Source organism: Homo sapiens, chromosome X (assembly GCF_000001405.40).
Source record: "Homo sapiens chromosome X, GRCh38.p14 Primary Assembly".
In the NCBI taxonomy this organism is placed as follows: Eukaryota; Metazoa; Chordata; class Mammalia; order Primates; family Hominidae; genus Homo; species Homo sapiens.
In genome coordinates, this window is record NC_000023.11 from 138921687 (window position 1) to 138946684 (window position 24998).

General features: G+C 40.0%; 1 protein-coding gene across 3 annotated transcripts in view, besides 2 other annotated features; it reads right to left on the reverse strand.

The window, feature by feature from the left end:
- The window catches only part of FGF13 (fibroblast growth factor 13), a 590297-nt gene that overhangs the window by 306960 nt on the left and 258339 nt on the right, over nt 1-24998 (reverse strand). The window lies entirely within an intron of this gene.
- Nucleotides 3828-3972: an enhancer, noted in NCBI's record as "145 bp enhancer 215 fragment used in the MPRA reporter construct; PK_construct_3360". NCBI's record gives its function as "activates an SV40 promoter by MPRA in HepG2 cells {active_cell/tissue: HepG2}" and the evidence as "EXISTENCE:reporter gene assay evidence [ECO:0000049][PMID:23512712]".
- Nucleotides 3895-3905: a transcriptional cis regulatory region, noted in NCBI's record as "NFE2L2 motif; enhancer activity is reduced when this motif is scrambled". NCBI's record gives its function as "necessary for full MPRA enhancer 215 activity {active_cell/tissue: HepG2}" and the evidence as "EXISTENCE:site-directed mutagenesis evidence [ECO:0005528][PMID:23512712]".

Below are 24998 nucleotides of genomic sequence, written 5' to 3' on the forward strand. Positions count from 1 at the left end.
CTTGATTGCTATCCTGCACAGAGGCGTGAGAACAGACTTGACTGCATTTCAAGGACCTTTGAATCTAACCTTGTAATTCTACTTGTTGTGATGTATTTTTTTCCACAAGAGATATCTGAGTGTGTGATACACTAGTTCTGCACTGTGCTAGGCACTGCAGGGAGATCCAAAAATTATGAGGTAGAACCCATGCTTCAGAAAAGATGAAAATTAACTGAGGAGACAGAACTCGCAAACATAAAACAATCAGAAGAATAGGCTAATCATGTTCTCCTTATGGAACTCAAAAAAAAAAAAAAAAACAACAAAACAACAACAACAAAAAAAACGACCTCTCTATCATTGTTTTTCATCTTAAGTCTGTAGCTTAAGGTGTCAATAGCTGATTTTGCTACTGGCTATGCTCCAAATAAATCTCTCTAAGAAATGACTTCCCATTTCTGAAAATGTTTCCACTGCCATATTTTCTCACACAAAAAAAATGAAACTAAATTGGGGATTTCTAACTAATATCCTGAGTGTAAGCAATGTTTTTTCTCAAAATAACATGTCCATTATCCAGATACCACACTGGCTTTCAATGGCAGAATTTGAATGTCTTCATAAATTTTCCTATTCTATAGCACAAGGCTTATATCCGAAATCAAAATGGCCCCAAGGGTGCCAATCACACTCATGGGGAAAGGTATGGTGAGTTATGTCAAGGTGGCCTGCATAGGGCTCTGCACGCCTCAATCTGTGGGGAGTCTCTCTCTACATTGACCTACTGGATGAGCTTATCCATTTCCATAGCTTTAGTCATCATCTTTAGGGGGGTGATCTAAAAATGTCCATCTTCAGGACTTAATTTGCTGCTCAGCTCTAGGCCTGCCTTCCAATTGTCCACTAGACATCATCTTCCCAAACTAGAGTTCCTCAAGAATTCCCACTTCTATCAAGAACACCACAATATTTCCAGTTGACTTCATAGACATATACTTGATTCCTGTCCTTCTCTATTTCTTCACCTCTAATCTGTCACCAAGCCCTGATGGTTTTGCTTTTAAATATCTGTATTTGCCTATTCCTCATTTCCACTGTCACTTTCGTAGTTCATGGTAGAATTTCACTTAACCCATGGTACTAGAAACATTTCTTTGTAAGATGCCCCGCTTCATCTCTAGCCTGCATCCATTCATTCTCCTTACAAAAAGCAGTCTACTTTCAACACCATAAATCCACATCAAACAGTCCATATATATTTGTTGAAATGAGATGAATTAAATTGCATTACAAAATATTCCTATATGACAGACAGTTTCCTTATTTGGAACATGTGCATATTAATGATTTAGGGATGCTATGAATGCTAGAGAATAAACACGATTTCAAGGTATTTTGCAAGCATAATGTCCCAGGACTTTGAAATAAAAATACATTTCTATCTACTATATTCACATTCTATGAAACCATCAGAATTTTTGCAGTATGATGTGCTTCATAATACCAGCTTATTAACATTGTGTGTTCATATCTATGGTGCTGCCTTTTGGAAACTGAGCAAAATTCTCAGAGTAAGGTACTCACAGTGAGATGGGTCATACTACTGGCCCATCTAGGGCAATAAGGAGGCAATCACTAAATTAAGCTCTGATGAATGTGAGAGGTTAACTTATTTCTCCAACCTAATCCATTTATTTTCAGCTCCACTAACTTACTAAAGGATCAAACGGAATATATTTAACTATATGATCAAAATATAAGGATGATTCACTGACTTTTCTAGGTTGGTAGTACAGCAATTGATTTGCTGGTACAACCCTGCAGACACCATCTTGTACAGCTACACTGCGTGAAACAGTGCCAGGCAAGCCACCCTGCATTTTCACTGAATGAATGCAGGCCTTCTTTGCTGCCCTTGTTGCCGCCCATTTGACTCCTGTCCCAAGTCAGACAATCTTGAATTCATGCATTCTCCTGAAAAGTGCACATGGCCCTTGGCTTCTTCTCCATTCCTATATGTCTCCTCCTCTTTCACAAAGATCCAGCCACATGAACCTTCTGTGGAGTTCTTAAACCAACAATCAGCTTCTTCTTTCCTGTCTCTGGGCCTCTGTGCTTGCTGTTTCCTCTACTTAGAATGCTTTTCCTCTAGATAAGCATATGTATGGCTGCTTCTCATCATCCATGTGTTAGCTCAAATGCTTATTCCTTTATTTAAAGGAGCAACCCTTACCACCACATCAGGTGCTCTTCAGCCCATTACCAAGGAAATCTCTCTCTAGTGGCATCATTATTGGTGCATTCCTGAATTGAGTAAGGCAGGAAAGGATAACCATGTTGAAACTTTGATACTAGAATGAATAACTTGTTGCAAATGGAAAGTTCCTTTTGATTTTCATGAAGCTTTATGAGGTACTGAGGAGAGGATGTATTAGTCAGTTTGCTTTTTATTGCAAATGGCAGAAACCCCACTCAAATTAGCTTTAGCAATGATGGGAATTTATTGGCTCACATATGGGATGTCCAAGGGGGTATGTTCACTTCAGGCATGCCAGGATCTTATGGTTTGAACAATATCAGCAGCACTCTGCCTTTTTTCTCCATCTCTCAGCTTTGCTTTTCTCTGTGTTGGCTCTATTGTCAGACAGGTTTTTCCCACAGTTGGAAAAGATGGCCACTAGAAGCACCAGGCTCTGGTCTGGAGACATAACCATGAATAGGAAAGATACAGTTCCTGCTCTCTTAGAGGTATGACTTGAGGAATGATGAGCTGTCTGGACATCTACCTCTTGTGACATGATACAGGAGTAAAATGGACAATAATGAAGGCAGCAAGGACATATAGATATGCAAATAATGAAATAAATAAGGTAATTTTAGATGGTGACAACCACTATTTAATATGCCTTTAGGACGTCTTGGTCACAGCTTCCCATATACTTCAATTCTAGCCAGTCTTTATAGAGCACCTATACTGTGCTTCCCTGTGTCAAGGGGTTGGGGTGCAGAATTGAGTAACTGAGTCCATAACCCTGAATGACATACAGTAGTATGCTATGCTCACTCAACTGCCACACAGTAAGCAGAATAGGAAGGAAACCGTAAGGGACATCCTAACCAAGGGACCACCCTAGTAGGTGAACTCCCAGGTGTTTGAGGTAGGGGGAAAGTTAAAAAAAAAAAAAAAAACCTGGTAAAATATTCTATGTATGAAGTGGTGAAGGGCAGAATTAAAGTCCTGGTAGTGGTAATTGAGAAGTGATCAGCCATCAATATATCAATATGCCTGGGTGAATGATGGTTTCCTGAGAGCTACAATGAATTCAAGTAGCAGCAGGTCTCAATGAAAACAGCAGGGCAGAGAGTGATAAGCTTGCTTTGAGACATGTTAGTTTGAAGAATATGTGGAAAGCAGTGATCAATATCATTTCTGTTCCCATTTGTTGAGGGACTTTATGTGCCAAGAAGTATGCTTCATATACATTGCTCCACTTAATTACACATCTATTGTCTCTCGGCAAAGCAGATGTTGGTAGCCCCACTTTTTACTTTTGGGACACTTGAAACTCTGAAAAGTTATGATACTCATGCAAGGTCACACAGCAAGTTACGCCACAGCCAACATTTGACCCCCTACCACTGTCTGACACTTTCTGCCTTACCACCCTGTGTTATCACAATGATACCTTCAAAATCGGCAACCAAAAAGATCTTACTGGCTTACCTTCCCATTAAAATCATTTCCAGTTGAAGAAAGAAGGGGATGACTCAACCCCAACAGGAAGGTTGATTTATTTTGGAAGACTTTTCACAAGACTCTTTACGGAGCTCTCTGACAGTGCTAATTTTAACCAAGTCATTGTGAAGCAACCTTGGATTCCTCTATGCAAGGCAAAGTACAAACACAAGCGTATGACTCAGCACAAAGCAGCTGTGGCTCTCCCTCCACTCCATTACCCACACCCCAAAAGGGATGAGTAACAGGTTCACTAATAAATTCAAAACTTTTTCAGAAAGCCCATCCACATCCCCCACTGCTCCAAGTTTTTAATACTGAGGCTTCAGCATCACTTCCCCAAAAGTCTACCCTGGTGAATATTCTTCCCATAATTCCCTCTTGCTCTGGTGTTGAAGGCAGAATGAGCTTCGTTGTGGGACATGTCCTACAATTGGTAAATGTTAGTATGCATCTGCTTTCTGACACCACTGATCAAAGGGAAAAGAGGGCATGGAAGAGCTCAGATGTAGTAAGAACAGCAACAGCAATGGTCATGGAAATCTGGTCTCGATTTTTGGATGAGGGCCTTTGCATAAAGAGCTCTGAGATGCTTCCCTACCTTACTGTTATTGTGAGAGAGCTGCCCAGGACCCTCTAAACTCAAAGTCTCCCCATGATTTTCTCCTATCTCTCTTGTTGATCTCACTCTCCACTGCCAAGAAATGGAGGTGAGTGGTTCCTCAGACTTTGATCTGGAGTCCACAGCCAACAGCTCAGCAGGTGAGGGGAGTTCTCCCTTGCTCTTCTGAAAAATCTGAAGATCCTCTTTAATGTTGCCTGCCAAGCACATGATGAGTTATTCATTCCACAAAAATATAATAATGCACTACTGTGTTTAAGACACTCCTTTAGGGTTCAGTGACACAGCATGACCCAAACAAAGATTCTTGCTTTCATGAAGTGGGAGAAAACAGACAGTATGCAATCAGCATAACATATAAGTAAATTATGTAGCATAATTAAAAGTATGGTATAATTTGATGAAAAAAGAAAAATGTGAGCAGAATAAGGAGAACAAGGAGTGCCAGAGTGGGAGGTAGGTTGTGGTATTAAATAGGATGATCAATGTGGGCCTCATTGACATTGTGAGCGATAAGCAAAGACTTGAATGAGATGAAGGATTTGGTCCAATAGACATCTAAGAAAAGCCCATTCCATGTTGAACAAACAACCAGTGCAAAGGCTCTAATGTAGGAGCATGCCTAGTATATTTTTAAAACAAGGGGCTGGGCACGGTGGCTCACACCTGTAATCCCAGCACTTTGGGAGGCCGAGGTGGGCACATCCCTTGAGATCAGGAGTTCAAGACCAACCTGGCCAACGTGGCAAAACCCCACTTCTACTGAAAATACAAAAATTAGTAGGGTGTGGTGTGGCGGGCTCCTGTAATCCCAGCTACTTGGGAGGCTGAGGCAGAAAGAATTGCTTGAATCCGGGAGGCAGAGGTTGTAGTGAGCTGAGATCACGCCACTGCACTCCAGCCTGGGCGACAAAGCAAGACTCAGTCTCAAGAAAGAAAAACAAAAACAAAAATACAACAACTAAGCCTATATGGCCAGAGCAGAGTAAGTGAGTCTTATTCAGTCACCTCTTAGAAAGCCAAGATGATTTATTTAGGGCCAGAGTACAAACCTTGCACCAACCGACCTAACGCATTTGAACAAACCACCCAAATGAAAGCTCTAGTACTATCTTCATAGCTCCATCGTCACTACAGAAACAGGCCAAATTCAAAAACAATGTGTTAAATGGATGAATGAAAGAATGAATAAATGAATGTAGAACTGTAACTTTTATTGTTACAACCTAATCTCCCTGCACAGTTCACACTTAGTCGGAGGCCCATCCAACTGTGCTCCATAGACCCATCCATAGACCCATCCAACTGGGCTCTAGGGTTCAACCCACTGGTTTTTACATTGAAACAATCCATGATCTACTCTGCAGTCACCTATGCTGTGCTCCATGAAATAGACCACACTTCATTTTTAACAAGTTTCTCTCCTTGGCCCCATTTGCTTATTTGAAGTTTCAATGCATTTAACAGTATCATTGTTCACTGGCCCTTCGCTTCTCAATCCCACCTCTCTACTGCATCCTCCTACACAAGCTTAAACTAATTTCTTCTTGAATTCCCCACAGACTTAGAACAAAAAAACATGTCTTCGTAATAGATCTTACCACCTTCTCCTTTGACTATGATTTATTTAACAAACTTGCATAGTGTGCCTGATATGTGCTGAACACCATTAAAGGAGAAAATGCCATGGTCTTTACCATGGAGAAGCGTTCCACCTACCAAGCTGATATAAACTACAAGCCATGCTATTACTTAGTACCAGCAAGGATGAGGTAGTCAGCCGCTACCATAGACTGGGGGTCTATATAAATTGGAACTATATAACAAGACCTTAAAATTTCACATCATTTTCCCTAATAATTTCAAGCCTTGAAAGCTGGACTAAAGAAATAAAGATGTGATCAAATATTTACATATAAAGCTATTTATCGGAATAATTATTTAGGACAATTAAATTCCCCTAAATTAGTAAATATTAAAATATATTACAGTAAAACTATATAGCTACCAGGAATATTTAATGACATGGAGAAATGTTCACTAAGACAAAATGGATACAAAACTGTATGTATAGTATTGTAATCATTTTATTTTGTATAACATACATGCATAAAACATTGAAAAAGAATACAATAAAATACCAATTTGATCTTCTTTGGATGTTTAGGGTTACATGTACTTTGTAATATGCCAAATTTGTGTGCTTTCCTGAATCCTCCAGACTGAGCAAATATTTTAATTTATATATTAAATTTTAATAAATACATAATTTATAAATTTTAAAATTAAATAATTTAAATATTTTAAAGTAAGCAATAGGCATTACACAAAAATATATATCTTATTTTTGGAAATTTTCTCCAAGAAAAAGGGCATGTATATTCTATATGTGTATTGCATTATATCTAGAGAGGTGAGAGTTAGAGATTTTTGAATCTTTTCCATTTCGGCCTTTGAGGGACACACTCCTCTTGCAGGAAGATGTTATCGCGGTGCTCTCAGAAAGAAAAAGACCCCACCCAGGGGTGCCCTCACATCCCAGGAATCTCCCAATCCCCAGAGGGCAGCATAATCCCTACAGCAAAAGAGTAATAAACAAAGTTCCTCTCAGAAAGGAATCTGCAGGAGCCTCAAACCAAATAACTATAGGCTGGGAAACAATCTTAGAAAATGCTCACTCCAGTCCCACACCTCCTCACTGATGACAAGAATTTTGTCTACAGTTTCTCTGCAACTTAGCCAGTCAGAATGTGCCTCAATATCAATGAGACATGAAGACTTCCCTTTTCCACACTTAAAATGACGTCCTAAAATATAGACCCACCATATCTTTCCAGTTTTCATTCTCACCATGCCCCTCCATGGAAAGCCTGGTTTTCAGTGATACAAGTCTCACTACTGTTTACCAAACACATGTGTTCAGGTCAGATATTAAGCCCCTGCTTGGGATTTGCTCTTTCTCTCAACAATGACTGACTGTACTTGAAATGACAATCATTTATTTCTCTTGTTCTCTTCTCAAAGTCATACAACTTGCCCAAATAGGCATCACTGATTGGATAAGAATGGACAACTGACCAAAGCTGGGTGACTTTGGCATCAGGACACAGGAATTCAAGTCAATCTCTGTTGGATCCTCAAACTAGGAAGTAGTTTTAAAGTGGAAGCTGATGTGACTACAAGTGTGTGAAAGCAGAAGAGGAAAACTCTGTGTGTGTGTGTGTGTGTGTGTGTGTGTGTCTCTCTGTGTGTGTGTGTTTAGTGTGGAGAAGAGATAAGCTTGAAGTGGTCTTTGAAGCAGCAACAAAAGTTTATATGACCCAAGATGATGAAACAAGTAATCTTGGGTTCTCAAACTTTCAGTTGTTGAATCCTACCACAAGATCTAGGGGCAGGCTGTAATCATGGACTCTTCCAATATAATCTCCTTTTTTTATTTGAGCAGTTCAAATGGGTTCTCAACTTACTTACAGAAATTTGCACATAAGTTAGCCAGTAAAAAAGAATGAAAATAATTGTGTTCATACTAAAAAGCTCCATTAAAGGCCAGATGATGCCTGGCTCATTCCTCACTCTGTCCCTAGCACTTAGCAAATAAGAGGCCCTCAACAACTATTTGCCTCACTTTGACAGCATCCTGAATCCCTGTCCCTTGTGCCTAAAATATACCCCCATTTCTACTTAGTCCAGTTCAAACTCCTCTATTTTTTCCACAGCTCCTTTGTTGGCTGCATGAGTCCACAGATAAGACATCCTTTCCCTGTATTACTCTAGAGCAACTGCAGTCCACAGCATTCACCCTGGTCCATTGTTGTGAACTGCCTTAGCTGTGTGTGTGTGTGTGTGTGTGTGTGTGTGTGTGTGTGTGTGTGTGTGCTTGATATCAAAAGATTATAAAATCTTGGAAGGAAGGGGCCACCCTTTCTCCCACTTCTCAGTATATTTCTAGTACTATCTTTGCCAGAGAAGACATTTAATAAAGATTTGCCTAAAAAGCGCAGCATGCATTCAAAATTTACTTTTTCAAAAGTCCTCAAGTCAGTCTGGCAGGAAACTGATAATTTTTAAAACCATGGACTCAAGCCAGCAGGGTATTGGTTGCCTAGCAGCAAGTGGCCTGAAAGAGTTAACAAGCCTCAAGTCTGAAAAAAATATATAACTTGTTCACATTGAGGCCAACATATTTGTTAAATTCCTAGCAAAACATGCACTGTGCTAGGGTGTCTGATTTCTTTCCACTGTGTTTATACTGTAATAAAGTAATGATTCTATTTGAAAGCTGACTGAATTCAATTAATAACTGCTGTGTTCATTTATTTAGTAAAAGCAAAGTTTAGATTGTAAGGTTTTATTTATTTTAATGTTCACATAAACAAGGCAGATAGCAAAATGCATACAGAATGGAAAATATGATCCGGTGCTTTCTGGATGGGCCAACTTTCCCCTTCAAAACAGACTCCAAATCCGGAGAAATCGCAAAAATGAAGATGTATGAACAAAAACCTAGGAGAACAGATCTGAAAGTCTTTTAATCTCTTCTATTTAAAGTCAAAAATAGTCATTTGTTCAGTGTCATTTCTCATCATGAATCTAAGACCCTATGCTGTAAAACTCTACCCGTTTTCACTTGCTGTATCACCGTCCCCATGCAGTTATATGGCGGCTTAGTAGAGATGGTAACAAATAAGCCCAGCTGCTTCTGTACTGCAGCTGTTTACCAAAAGTGCATCACAGGGGACACACACAGTTCAAACCACAACTTGACCAAATGGATTTATAATTGAAGTTGAAAAGTCAAGAGCTGTAGAGACACCCCAAACCTCCCTTGGCTGCTATGGGCTGAAGCACTTGATGTATCCCTAGCAACTTGGGTCACTGAGGTACACACGTATCCTACATTTACTAATTGATTGTCTGTAGGAAATGAAAAATGAACAGAAAGGATGGAAGAAATGAGCAGGAATACAGCTCTGAAATCAATTCTCTTCTGAAGTCTATTTCTTATGAATTATAATACATTAAAAAGGATTTTCTACCATAATCAGAATTCCAATCTTATTTGGCCCTTATGGCCAATCTTTGGGACTACTGACTCTAACTACCCAAAATGTTTAGCAATAGTGACTATGTGCTGTAGGAGATACCAGAATACCTGTGCACTGGATACAGCCCATTTGCAATAGCAGACTTGGTCCTTTACTGAAGTGAATATGACAGAAAAGGGCTGTTTTTTTTTTTTAATAACTGTCAACTTTTCCCTAGGCAGCAGGGCTGTGGGCCCATCTACAGCTAGGGAGTAGAGACTGACAGGGACTCTTCCAGCTACAGATGCTTCTGGGAAACCTTCAAGTGAACACTGTCTAGGATAGTATGAATCCCCTTTGCTTTAGCGCAGATGTTTTTGTGAAACTCCAACCCACCAGGGAGCTGAGAGTCTAAGCAGAATCCTTTTGTCAAGAATCAAAACGATGAACTAACACCTCCAAGCTGAAACAAGAAAATAAACTCATTAAAAATAGAACATGTCACATTATCTAGTTTGGGGGCTGAGTGTTCTTCCAATCCTAAAAACAACTCTCTGTGGCCAAATTGCTCCAGGCCTCCAACATATCCAACATAGCTATATGTGAATAGAGTCATCAGCTTCTGCTGTTCGTATACAAAAGCCTGTGTATTTCTAGTTTTATCCAAGAATATGGAGATGGCAGAATTTATCATTTGCAAAACCTCAAATGTACTGTACTCAGCTGTACCCTAAATACATATGTGTCTACTAAGAAGAGTGTAACAAAGGGTGATTTGCAGCATTCAAATATAGATTTATGTGCTCAGATAAAAACAAATAAGTATATAAATAAGAAAAAATGACCAAAACTCAGTTTGTAACAAATGGGCCCTTTAGCTAGTGTGTTTCCCATGTCCATTCCCCAACAGCTTAGGTGGCTACAGGGAATGAAAAGCCAGCAGCAAACTATCCCCCCACCCCCCATTTTAAAGGTCACTCCTCCATGGAGTTTGCAGCAGTTTGCAGCAGTTCACTCCTGCAATGCATCTTTTTTAAAAAGAGTTGAAGGCCATTTACTGTTCCTGAGATTGGATCCAATGGAGTCGTCACTCCCAGCAACGTCCTTAAAAGCTTAAATATCGCCACGAAGATAAAAGGTGCAGAGTATAAAGCTGGAAGAGCTTAGTACCATTTGCAGCAAAAGAGCCCATTAATCCCATCCTTTTGTACCAGATCACAGTTTACTGAGCCATTAAAACGAAACCCCAGCCGAGTGCAATGGCTCACGCCTGTAATCCCAACACTTTGGGAGGCCGAGGCGGGTGGATCATGAGGTCAGGAGCTTAAGACCAGCCTGCCCAACATGGTGAAAACCCGTGTCTACTAAAAATACAAAAATTAGCCGGGCCTGGTGGCACACGCCTGTAATCCCAGCTACTCTGGAGGCTGAGGTGGCAGAGTCGCTTGAACCCGGCGCGGGAGGGCGGGGGGTGGGGGTGTGCAGAGGTTGCAGTGAGCTGAGATCGCACCATTGCGCTCCAGCTTGGGCGACAGAGACCGGAGAGGGACTCCGTCTCAACCACAACGACAAAAAAAGAAACCCCTTCCCAGAACTAAACTGAAAGATAACCCCAACTGAAAATAGAAAGGGGAAAAACATGTCAGGAGTGTAGTGTGTGTGTGTGTGTGTGTGTGTGTGTGTGTGTGTGTGTCTGTTAACTTTTAAGTTGGTTTGCTTCTTGGTTGTTTTTACATTATAGAACTGTGTCTGCTAGGATCAGTAGCCATCCTGGGCTGTTGTCTGGTCTTTATGGCTAGTGCCCCTGCTCTACAGGCCCTGGCTTATAGAGACACCTATATCTCCTCCAGCCTAGAAGCAATTTGTGTTTCATGGAGGACCAGTGTTAGTTGTCTAACGCTAAATTTTAGGCCCACCTCTGCCACTTAATATGTGAGACCTAGGGCAAGTATAACCAGGAGACTAGCTGTTCTGTCTGTAAAAGAGAGGTCACCGGCTTTCTTTACACCATGCTGCCTTTAGATAAAAATTTCAGAAATATTTTCATCATGTCAATGTCCAGCTCAAAACTTGTACTGGCTCCCCACTGCCTGCAGGACTAAGTTCATGTATTTGTCTTCCCTACCAGTCTGTGAGGTTACTGAGGGCATTGACCATGTCATAGTCATCCTTAGGTTTGCAGAAGCAAACATCTTTGGTTCTATACCTTTCTGACCAAGGGCATACTAATTTTTTAAGAAAACCAAAAATATTTGGAGGAGAACAGCAACAGACTTGTGGAAGATTCCCTAAGATATTTCTTAACATGGACACCCAGTGGCATGACTTGGGGTTAAATATCTGTCTCCTAAGACTCAGGTTCTGTAGTGTAGACTGGGAGCTCAGCCAATCAGATGGAGAGAGAAAAAGTTGTGTCCCCCACTCTAAACACAAACAGTGAGAGGCTGTCAAAGTGCCTTGTTGCTCAGTAAATGTGATGAGGGCAAAGCTAATCTCTAAGTTTCACTTTTGGAAGTCCCAAGGGTAACTAACTTGAGAAGGAGGTCACTCTGGTTGAATAACATTGTGTTTACCTTAAGGCCAAACAGTAAAATGTGTGGCCTTTTAGCATTGGCTTCCGAATTGGTCTTTATGCGAATTGGTCTTTATGCTTCAGGCCCAGCTTTCTCCACACCATGCTGCCTTTAGATAAAAATTCCAGAAATATTTTCATCATGTCAATGTCCAGCTCAAAACTTGTACTGGCTCCCCATTGCCTGCAGGACTAAGTTCACGTATCTGTCTTCCCTACCAGTCTGTGAGGTTACTGAGGGCATTGACCATGTCATAGTCATCTTTCGATTTGCAGAACCAGCCATAGTAACTGTATACATTAAACTGGATTAAGTTATGAACCCAGTATCCTAAGTTGAAAACTACAGATGATTTTAATTTTCTATGTCTTACTAACCAATATTTCAAAATCTTCTATAATCAACAGATACAATTTTACTTTTCTAAATGAAAAAAATAGGTTACTTAGAATTTCGGTGTAACCTCTTTTGCTTTAACTTTCAAGAGCTAAATCCCAGATTCCAGCAATCCACAAAGAACTCTGCAAAGTTCTCTGAGCAAGACTTGGCTGCTGTGGAGGGGCTCCTACACTACTCAGATATGTGGCAAGTAGAGGAACAATTATACCATGAGGCAAAATGTGGCAACAGCTGTAAAAGTGGTCCTAGCAAAATGCCATAGGAGTTCAGTGGAGGAAGCGGACCCATAACCAAGAGGAAGATGAGGATGCCTTCTCCTTAAAAAGCTGATCAAGATAAGGAGGAGGAACATTCTTCCCCATATGATCACATCTAAAAAGTGCTTGGTTTGGCCATTTCATGGGCAAGCAGAAATGACCTGCCATCATGCTAAAAACTGCTTTTCAATCCTGCCTAATAAGTCTGAAGCACAGTAACAATTTGGCATCTTGTCTAACATGTCAGAATATCTTGATGGGAACTTGTATTTTATTTCAAATGTGTGCTGCTCATGGAGGATGGCTCTCTGCTTACAGCTTTGAAAATAAACGAGATGAAATGTGCTGTAGGTTGCAAAACTGCATCTGTGATTTGGTTGCTTAGTAGGTTGGAAATCAAAACATATGCTCTAATGGGAATAAATCGTAGGGGCCCAAGCCAGTCCATCATAAATCCTATTCAATTGATCCTCATCCTCATACAAATGTACCCAGCATTTTGACATTTGACTCAGTCCTTCTGGGAGTTAAGCAAGGCAGTAGTCATTAGCCATATATCCAGGATGTGAAAAGAATCTAAAAGTTTTAAATGTCTGGCCAAAGGTCCCACATCCAGTAAGGAGAGGAGTTTGGAAAAAAAAAAAATACTATGCATATTACTAAACATAATCTAGTGAGAATAGAATTTGTGATAAAATTTTCTCCCTCTTCTCCCCCTGCCCTCAGGAGGGCACCCCAAAGATTTCAGGAGGAGGAAAAGAGTGAAAGGGGAGATGGACACCTCCCTGATTTGGTAAAGATGAGTGGTCCTCCTGTCCTATAGCATCAGAATCGAAGTTTCAGAGTCTTTACTCTTTGCAGGAAACTTTGTTGGGCGGCCCCTTCAATGGGTCAGGGCCTCTGGAAGTCAAGGTCTGCTTGCTCTGTGCTGCAAGTACAAACAAGAACTACAGTCATGTCAAATACTGTGAGAAAGCTGGGACGCTGAGCGTTTGAGGATTGCGGGCCACAGTTTGGGGAAAAAATGAAAAAAAAAATGCTCTTTCACACAGCTTCACACTAGTTTCCTGGAGAGCGGACTGTGATCATGCACCATCCTATTTTGCCCACAGGGCATTTCTCAAATAAGGGCACTCAGTAGCTTAACAACAGAGATGGTACAAGGGAGGATAAATTAGCTTCTCATGACTTGAAAAGAATCAGGTGCCAAGTTCAAGTAATCTCCCCACTTATTACCCTTCTTCCAACTCTGCCAAATCATTAAAGGCTTTGAATGCTCACATTTTGTACAGCCTGAGAGGTGAAAAATAGAGCACACGAGATGATGTGTGCTTTATTTCTTTTATATTTGGACTTTTAAAATTGACATACAGTAAACTTGACTTTTCTTGGTGTATAGTTCTATGAGTTTTAACACATGTGTAGATCTGTGGAACCTCCATTGCAATCAATCACTCCCACAAAGTCCCTCATGCTATACTTTTTAAGTCACACAAACCCTCTTCTATATTCTGACAACCACTGCTTTGTTCTCCATCATTATAGTTGGGTCTTTTCAAGAATGTCGTAAAAATGTGAAAATGGAATCTATGTGGTATGTGTTTTATTTTGATGTGCATGAGGCACACTTACAAGCCCTGCTGCTTCCAAATGCCAGTGGTTAAATGTACAGCCTGGCTGGGCTGTGGGATCAGGAAGTTCTTGTAAAAACTTCATCTCTCCATTGCTTCTTCAGGGTCACTTAGGCATCCTTAGTATCAGAGACAAAGACAAGGCATATTGGGTGATTCCAAGGTCCCAAAGTTGTACTTGAGCAAAGGGGAATTATCTCAAAATTCTTGATAAGGCTCAATCATCTCTTGGGGCGAAGGCCCCACAGTCTACACTGGTTGTGCTCCCACAGACCAAAGAGCCTACAATGTTCTACTGCTTCTTCCTAAACCTCTATCCCTCGGATGCTTCTTTCTCCACAAAAAGAGCTCTCCCTTAGTAATCTTACTGATGGCTGTCAAAACTCCCCCAAGCTTCAGCCCAGACCCAAGCCAACATCAAAAGCACTTTGGATGACTCCGAGAAAATTATTTAACTTCATTGTGACTATCTGGAGAGTAGAAAATAACAAAATATATCAAGTAGAGTAATTGTAAGGATAAAATGAGATAATGCACATGAAGCATTACCTAGACATAGTAAGGGCTCACTAAGCATTAGCTATTGTTATAATAAGTATAACACCAAATGGTAATTACTTGTTAGCATATCAGTTTCTTGCATCAGACTGGGAGCTGAGTTCCTTGACAGCAGGGACCTGATGTCATTCACCTGTGTACCCCAAACATCCATCATAATGGCTGACCAGAATAAGTTCTGGCTAACTCCTGCTCACTCTATAATTCATTAACTCATTCAATAAATACTAATTGAGCACCTATTATGCATTCCTTTCTACGGAAGCACACCTTCTGTGGGAAAATTTCTGTGAAAACTTACATATTGTGGTCTCCAGGGAAAGCATTAATGTTTCCCCATTCTCCCTCATCCCTCCACACTGGGGACCGCAAGGCCACAGTGAGGGGAGCGGTCAGAATGTTATAGGGTAAAGATTATACTTCATTGAGAAAAGGGATTAAAGGTCTGGGCATATGTGGCACAAAAATGAGGATGAGTGTGACTTTGGCTTTTTTCTTTTATATCTGTTTGTGAGAATATCTCCCTGCAGTGCCAGGCCATCTCTCTCAAGTGGTGCTCTTAGATAGCTAGTATGACAAAAGCAGGCCCGGACCCCCTTTCTTCTTGAGAAGAAGTTTCCTCTTTTCTCTCCAGTCCATCTCTACCCCCTCCTTTATAGAGCTTAGTAGAAACCCAGAGAGACTGAGTTTAGACAAAATGAGCCCTTCTGGTCTTACAAGTCAAATTCAGCTCACTAGGGCTAGAGTTACACAGTATGTTGAGAACGAAAGACCCAGAGAGTGTTCCTTTGTGTATATCATGGGGCGAGATGGCAAGGATGTAGCAAATATCAATATTTTCAATACAACTTATAATAACACACACAGAAATACACACAGGCTAGATATGAACCCTCATCTGTACTCATTTCTGCACCCAAATTATCTCTATATGACACTTCCTGCTGCCTTTTGATTGCCTTCTGACTTTAACTAAACCACTAGCTGCATGTAAGCAGGAGCTATGCCCTTGTCCTCATGGTATTTCTAGTGTGTGGCATAGCACCCAGTACATTGGCATTCTCCATTAGCATTTGCTGAATGAATATTTGTATGTAGCTATGTACGTATGACTGCATGAATGTATACACATTTTTCTAGTATCACATGGAATCCTATATCCCAGTACCTGTAACTTCCTAATCCCCAGTCTATACTGCAGCTAGCACTGTGTCTGACACAGTATAGATTATCTTTTAATATTTGTGGAAAGAGTAACTCTAGGTGAACAATTTAGAAACAAAAAATCGAAGGCCAAAAAGAAAAAGAGAAGGCTATTAATCAGTTGACTGCCCTTTAGTATTCTGCTTTAGAGAGAAGATTTAGCACAATACATGTGGCTAAAAGGATTAGGATTGGAGATAGAAATATAGACGTCAACTGCATAAAGATTAAAGCATGGGGAGTAGATAATCTCACTGGAGCAGGATGTAGATGAAGGCAAGAAAGCCCAGAGGCAAATCTTAAGGAAACTACCATTTAGAGAATGGTAAGTGGGAAGAAGCCAATTAAAGAGACTGAGAAGGAGTGGCCATTGAGGAAGAAGAACAAGGAGAACATAAATGAGGATGAGGGTGACAACATAGGCATATTACTAAACATAGTGTAGTTCAGAATAGAATTTGTGATAACATTTTCTCCCTCTTCTCCTCCTGCCCTGGACTACACCACACCCAACAGCAGTCAACAGATGGATGGTGCTAGGAGACCAAACGGATGTGAAAAGAGAAGACTGATTGGGTGACACAGGAGTTCACTGGTGATCTTGACAAGAGCAGTCTCAATGGAGGGATGGCTGAAATAGCATGAAAAGATAATGGGAAAAGTAGAGGCTGTCAGTATAGACACAAAGAGTAAGTCCTTCTTCCAGCTTTTGGGGGAAACTTAGTCTGCCTGCCAAATACCTTTAGAACTTCATTCCTTGCCTACTACTTGAAAAAACATTTCTCCTGGCCAAATCAGAGCAGTTGTAGGATGTAGATAACAGGCATATATAAAAGGAAGCCAGAGTGGCGAGCTCTTGGCCTGGGATTCACGGGATTCTGCCGCCCCAAAGAACTATGACTTAACTGCTTATGCTACCCTCTGTTTGCTACTTAGCCCCTGGCATAGTCTCACCCATGCCCCCACCCATTCCATCCATTATTAATAACATAATTGTAATTAAAAGACAGAGAGAATTTGGAATGCATCAAGTAGGAGTTGCAACAAAATATTTTGTTATTCAATGATGAATTTTTAAATGAAACATCTAAATACAGATTGCTCCCCAAGAGATGTTCTGATTTGAGGCTGAGCTTGATGTACTTCCAAGAAACTGTCTAATTACAAACTAGGCCCTAAACCTAGATGCTTAGGTACGTTTCTCATGCAGAGCACAATGCAGTTTTTTCTACTCAGCTTCTTGTGCGGGACTGGGGTGCAATGCAAGGCAAGGGTTAGACAAGCTCTGCTAAGGAACTTGTCCATTTAGCCCAAGGAAAGAGTCCATTAGGCGTTGAGAGGCATTTGCCATGTTGAGGTGGTTGGCTTTAAATGTAATGTTAATTTTACTTTGCTTTTAAAGTACTTGGAGAATAGAAATTGGTATTTAAAGCCATTTCCTAAAACAACAACAACAAAATCTGAAACTTGATTTGTCCCAAGATTTTCACTCTTGGTTGAGATAGTGCCAGGACATAGTGAAACCAGGCATAGTCTGGCCTCCTGCTGGCATTGCCAAAGCTGCTAGTAAGGGTTTATTTATGGAAACAAGGCCAAAGATCAACTGACCCAGAACAAGCCCTAAGTCAAATGATTTCTCCCTGTATTCATAAGCTAAAACTAAGACAACACAAATATTGCTTCATATTCCATGAATTGCAAATCCTCAGCTTTTTAAATTTAATTTTCATATGTTAGAGTTTATTTATTTTAACTTTTATTTTAGGTTTAGGAGTGTACATCTGCAGGATCATTATACAGGTAAACTGTGTGTCGGGAGGGTTTGGTGTACAAATTATTTAGTCATCCAGGTAATAAGCAAGTACCTGATAGGTATTTTTTTATCCTCTCCCTCCTCCCAACCCCCACCCTCAGGTAGGCTCCGGTGACTGTTATTCCCCTGTCTGTGTCCATGTGCTCTCATTGTTTAGCTCCCACTTATAAGTGAGAACATACGTTATTATTTTTCTGTTCCTGCATTAGTCTGCTAAGGATAATGGTCTCTAGCTTCATCCATGTTGCTGCAAAGAACATGACCTCATTCTTTTTTATGACTACATAGTATTCTGTGGTGTATATCTACCACATTTTCTTTATCCAGTCTACCACTGATGGGCATTTAGGTTGATTCCATGTCTTTGCTCTTGTGAATACTGATGCAATAAACATACACATGCGTGTGTCTTTATGGTAAAACAAATTATATTCTTTTGGGTATATACCCAACAATGGAATTGCTGGGTCAAATGGTAATTCTGTTTTAAGTTCTTTGAGACATCGCCATACTGCTTTCCACAACAGCTGAACTAATTTACACTCCTACCAGAATTGTATAAGCATTCCCTTTTCTCTGCAACCTCACCAGGATCTGTTATTTTTTTACTTTTTAATAATGGCCATTCTTACTAGTGTGAGATGCTACGTTATTGTGGTTTTGATTTGCATTTCTCTAATGATTAGTGATGGTGAGCTTTTTTTTATATCCTTATTGGCCACATTTATGTCTTCTTTTGAAAAGTGTCCTTTTCAAAACTGTTCATGTCCTCTGCCTAGTTTCTAATGGGGTCATTTTGTTTTTCTTGTAAATTTGTTTAAGTTACTTATAGATTCTGGATATTAAACCTTTGTCAGATGCATAGTTTGCAAATAATTTCTCCCACTCTGTTGATTGTCTGTTTACTTTGTTGATAGTTTCTTTTGCTGTGCAGAAGCTCTTTAGTTTAATGATGTCTCATTTGTCAGTTTTTGTTTTTGTTGCAATTGCTTTTGGGGTGTTCGTCATGAAATCTTTGCCTGTGTCTATGTCCTGAATGGTATTTCCTAGGTTTTCCTCCAGGGTTTTTATAGTTTTAGGTTTTACATTTAAGTCTTTAATCCATCTTGAGATGATTTTTGTATATGGTGTAAGGAAGGGGTCAAGTTTCAATCTTCTCCCTGTGGCTAGCCAGTTATCCCAGCACCATTTATTGAACAGGGAGTCCTTTCCTTATTGCTTGTTTTTGTTGGCTTTGTTGAAGATCAGATGATTATAGCTTTGTGGTATTATTTCTGGGCCCTCTATTCTGTTCCATTGGTCTATGTGTCTGTTTTTGTACCAGTATCATGTTGGTTTGCTTACTGTAGCCTTGTAGTATAAAGTCGGGTAACGTCATGCCTCCAGCTTTGTCCTTTTTGCTCAGGATTGCCATGACTATTTGGGCACTTTTTTGATTTCCTATGAATTTTAAAGGAGTTGTAATTGTGAATAATGTCATTGTTTTATCTCAACGCATGCAGAGAAGGCCTTCAATAAAATTTAACATCTCTTCATGTTAAAAACCCTCAATAAACTAGGCATTGAAGGAACATACCTCCAAATAATGAGAACCATCTATGACAAACCCACAGCCCACATCCCACTGAATGGGCAAAAGCTGGAAGCATTCCTCTTGAAAACCAGACAAGAAAGGATGCACTCTCTCACCACTCCTATTCAACATAGTACTAGAAGTTCCGGCCAGAGCAATCAGGGAAGAGAAAGAAATAAAAGACATCCAAATAGGAAGAGAGGAAGTCAGACTATTCCTGTTTGCAGACAATATGATTCTATACCTATAAAACCCCACAGTTTCTGCCTAAAAGCACCTTGATCTGATAAACAACTTTAGCAAACTTTCAGGATGCAAAATCAATGCACAAAAATCAGTAGCATTCCTATACACCAACGATGTCCAAGCTGAGAGCCAATGCAATCTCATTCACAATTGCCACAAAAAGAACAAAATACCCAGGAATGCAGCTAGCCAGGGAGGTGAAAGATTTCTACCAGAATTACAAAACACTGCTAAAAGAAATCAGAGATGACACAAACAAATGGAAAACATTCCATGCTCATGGATAGGAAGAATCAATATTATTAAAATGGCCACACTGTTCTAAGCAATTTGCAGATTCAAGGCTATTCCTTTCAAAATCCTCAGTCTTACACAGAAAGAAAGTCCTCAAACCTCATGGGATGATATTTAAGTGGAAAGTCCCTGCTTCTGAAATTTGAAGCCAGATTAGGTTGTATGTATGGCATCTCATTCCTCTGAAAAAAAAGTAGCATTTCTGCTGATCTACAGGCACCTGATGCTCCCTCTCCACTAGTGTGTCTATGATCAAGTCCCCTTATTCCTGGAGTTCCTCAAAACCAAGGCCATAATCTGGAAGAGCACCAGATAGAGCTTAAATGTGCAGTCTATGTACTTGTGTCAGAATTCTTCCCTGAGTGAGACTTACTGGCCCAAGAGAAAAAGACCTCTCATTGGCATTATTTTCAAATAAACAGAGTCTATAGTCCCAGCCTTTCCTTGTCCTACAAAATGCTGTCGTGCTCATCTATCTTTTATTGAGCCACTATGTAAGGATATGTCTCGCATGGGGAGATGGGTTTTCCATGGATTATCTCATTTGATCCATACAACAAGCCTTGGAAGTTGGTATTATTATTCTCCCCATGTCTTAGGTAAGCAAACAGAGGCTGAGGGTGAACCATTTGCCCCAGGTCATATACATAATAAATGACAGAACTTAGCCTCCATATCTTATGTTCCTACTCCTGCATTACTGTCTACTCTGGAACAAAGTGCCTGCTGACTCAATAAGCACATTGTATCACCTCCATTAGGAAAGATGCCCTCCAAACAACCAGGGCTGGAGTGTGTTTTTAACACATCACATCTGCATAACAATTTGGCAAAGAAAGGGATGCCTTAGAGGCAGCCTACAAACCTTGACCCTAGGTTAGCTGTGTATGAGCTACAGTTCTGGGTCCAAGAAATCTGGTCATTTGAGCAATAAGAGAATGTCCTTTTCGGTTTTTCTCTCCTTCCCCACTTCCTTGGAAAAGCCATTAGGAAGAAATGGGCCCTTTTTATGCTTGCTACAGAGCTAATTCTTCCTGTCCATACAAAGAACCCTTCCCAGAATTTTACCTCTAACAACAAATCTCTGGACAGTTAATTAAGAATCCATTTTCAACTAGACACAAAGGTATTTTCTATCTCTTTAGTTCACAACAGGGGGAAAAACAACGTCAATATTACAAGAAAAATACAACTGGGGAAATTCTCATTATGCCGACTCCTTGTATACTGTGTTCTTCAAGTATCTTGTTGTTTTTTTTGTTTGTTTGTTTGTTTTGCCATTTAACACATAACTTCTCATCTTAGAGATTGCTCTAGGCCATTTACAAGACCGAAAAATTTTATTTGGGCCTGACAAATAGTTTCTGAAAGCATTAGACTATCCAAGATTCTACTTTGCTCATGTAATTTATATCAACTCCACTAAAATCCCCCCAAAAACCCACCTGTTGTCTCACATTGACTATAAACTCTTCATCAGAATGAAATACTGTGCATATATATATACTTTTTTGTACCATGGGAAATATGGAAGGGGACTGTTGATCAGGGACTGGGCAATCTGTTCCTCTCCTGGGCATCACAGTGGGTGGGCCCCAGGGCTGTGCCTGAGAATATCACTGGCTCACTCCCACTGCCCATGGTCTGTGATGAGGGTTTGCAGAGGCCCCTTGTGAGATCCAGTGTCCAATGTGTAGTAACTCAACATTTAGTCTTGCAGGCTATGCAGAACTCATTCTGGTTGATGTGAAGTGCACCCTGCATGTAGGACAGTACACGGCAACTAAAGCCCTGCAATTGAGCCCATATTTCAACATTTCACTGAGAGAATATGAGCTAGCTAGGAGCTCCCAAATATGAATTCCTATGAAAATCACATAAAGCATGCACTGCTGAAGCTCTAATATCTGACCTACTTGGAAGTAGGTATCCTGTCTGTCAAAAATGTCATTCACTAAATGTCATTCACTAAAATGTGCCCCACATGGATAATTATAGGACATTTGAACAGTAATAGAAAGGAAGAAAAATTGAATAGCTAAGTGGATCTTCATCTAGAAGGACTGAGAATGAACTATCCTGGAGTAGAGGTATTCAAATTCTCATCATTTTAGCAAGGATCACCACTGTAAAGGGGATGAAAGCAAAAGAGGAGGGTGAATTTCACTGCTGAGAATAATTCCATGCTATTTTCACCTCTCGGAGACAGGGTATAACAGGATAAGTGGACACTATTTGACTTCCTGAGTAAACCTTTTCAAGAGCAACAGCAGCTGAAATACGCTATAGGGAGATGTCTGAAATCATTCATGAAAAGGAAAGCAAAGGAGGCTGGGTACGAATTCAGAACTGGGAACTGGATATTTGTACTATTTTACTGGTTGTTTAATGAATTCATCATGGATTTTTTTTGTATCTCCTATACTTAAGTATTAGTGCCCCTGTTCTACCAACTCATCGAGCAAAGATTTATGGAATGCCTATACAATATTAAGCTCTTAGACCTAAGGCACATGAAAATTGGGTGTGTAGAGAAAGAAGATTGAGACTCAGGAAACACAAATTCTGGTCCTCCTTGCCATTAAGGTGCTGTGTGACCTTGGGCCAATCACTTTGCTTTTTAAATCTGATTCCCCTCCATTCTTCCCTACAGAAGGATAAGATAAATGGCTGTCCACAAAGATTATAAGAAGGTCATCATGGGAATCCATGAGCTATTTTTAACATTTCAATAAGCCTAAGGGAGATGGTTTGTAAAGATTGCTAAGATCAAGCTGACCCTAGACCAACTCAACCATCTACTGCCTTCACTTTGGGAAGGAATTATATCATCTTATTGTGGTTACACTGGTTATTTCATGCTGACCAGATTCTCTACTGAGAGATCATTAATGGCTCTGAGCAAAAAAAAAGAAAAAAAAAATGAGAGAAGGAATTATTATGTGATAAAGGTAATTTGTTTAGTAGGCCTGATATTTCAAAACACAGTATGCAGGGGAAAATTAATTAAAGATGCCTTAGATAATGAAAACTTTTGGAATCACTAGACTAGATCATTTCTAAGGGCCCCTCAAGTTCGAAAATCCTCTAAAGCACTCTTGAGCAGCCAATAGATCATAGGATGCATCTTACAACCAGGCAGGCTAATTTCAGGCTGAAAGATTAAAAAGCAGGTTCTGTATTGCCATTTCTCAAATATGACTAGATATTAAATTTTTTTTAGTTGCTAAACAGAAGTGGCAATTCTCTCACTGGTATTTTTCTATTTAGAAAAAAGATGATATAAAATTTGAATAATAAGCTACCCATCCTTCCTTCCTTCTCTCTAAACTTATGTATTGAGTGTCCACTATTTGTCTCATACAGTTTTCTTTTTACCAGTTTGACCTTCCACAAAAGCTGTTGGTCACCATTGCTCTAAGGACTCTGTTCTTCTTGGTGGTAGAAGGAGTGAGGTGAGGTGTCGAGCATATAAAAGCAGTCTACACTAGGAGGAGGTCAAAGTGCAACTACAAGGAGCAGCCTAGTAAAAGGTAGATACTATAATTAGAATCTGCAGGATCCCATGATAGACATGTAGTATAATGGAGGGCTTGAATTTTTGTTTCCTACATCTTTATAAACCAAAATGGTATTCTTCATTGCTATGAAGACTACGTGCGACATGCATTTATCCCCTTGTGGTGCAAAGTTCTAAGTCCTAAACGCATGGGAAATCATTAAGATGATTTATCTTAGGACTGCTCCTCTACTCCTCAAGCACAGTTGCTGTCCTCCACAATCTTGAGTAATGAGGGTGAGTCACAGGCAGCAACAAAAAAAGGTAGTCAAATGTCTACTCGACAGATGAAACAGATAGCAGGACTGGTTAGTTCGGCACTCCTGCCTGCTCCAATGAACAGTGGGGGGGTCATTCCTAGAAGAAAGGATCTACTGCCCCAGGGCTTTTTAGTATTAACAGGGGTTGCCAACAGAACGAATTAACCCTTTGTCAGGGAAGTAGCCAATAATTGTTAATTATCTTGGTGAGTATGTGTTCAATTAAGTGACTATGCATGAACTAAAAAGAATAGGTACATGGAAAAACGATTCAGTGGATTAGAGACATAGGAGAACAGAAATAGTTTTGTATTAGAAATGAGCAAAGAAGGCATCCTCTGTGCACTTACAGTGACTGTAGGTTACCCTCAGAGAAGCTTGTCTTATACCACAAGCTTTCCAATCAACTGTAGAAAACTATTACCAAATTAGATGATATAGATAAATTAACAATTTAGTTTTTTTAGTTTTTTGCATTTTTTTAACTTTATGATTTTTTTTGTCAACCTATTTCCTAAGGAATGGATTCCTCCAAGCTGTAACTTCCAAATAACTCAGTTAAAAAGTCAATGTACTGAATTTAAAGAGTTATGGTGGTTTAAAGCAATGGTCTGAAGCCAGACTGGATAAGCTGAAGTTCTGGCTCTGCCACTCACCATCTCTGTGATGTTAAGAAAGTTACCTAACAGCTCCAAGCCTCAGTTTCCCTATTTGTAAGGTAGGTATGATAATACCTCTCTTGCAGAGTTATCAATTGTGACAATTAGAAATAACACATAGCCAGTATCTAGCACATGATTGATTTCCAATAAATGGGGGCTCTTTGTTAGGAAGTACAAGCAGCAGGAGGAAAGCACTGCGCATTGAATTCACTGTGTGTTCTCTTAAAGAGGCTGGGGAGAAAAGAGCCGCTGGATCTCAATTGACATCCCACTGGACATTTGAAACTAGTAAGCAATTATTAATGGTCCCAATTCGACATAATGTTTTTCCAGGAGGACAAAATGTGCACCAATTTAAAGTGAATGAACTCAGTGTACTGGACTTACAAAGAATAATTTAGCAAGGGAGTTGTTGGTGATCAAAGATGTGGGAGTTTGTCCTGCCTCCATTTAACCTCTTTGAATCTCAATTATTGCATATGGAAAGTGGATATAACAATCCCTGACTGATCACTTCAATATGTTTTTGTGAAAATCAAGTGAGATATAGAAGATCCATGTAAACTCTAAATGATGCAACAGCAGGAAGCATTGCTATTATCAACA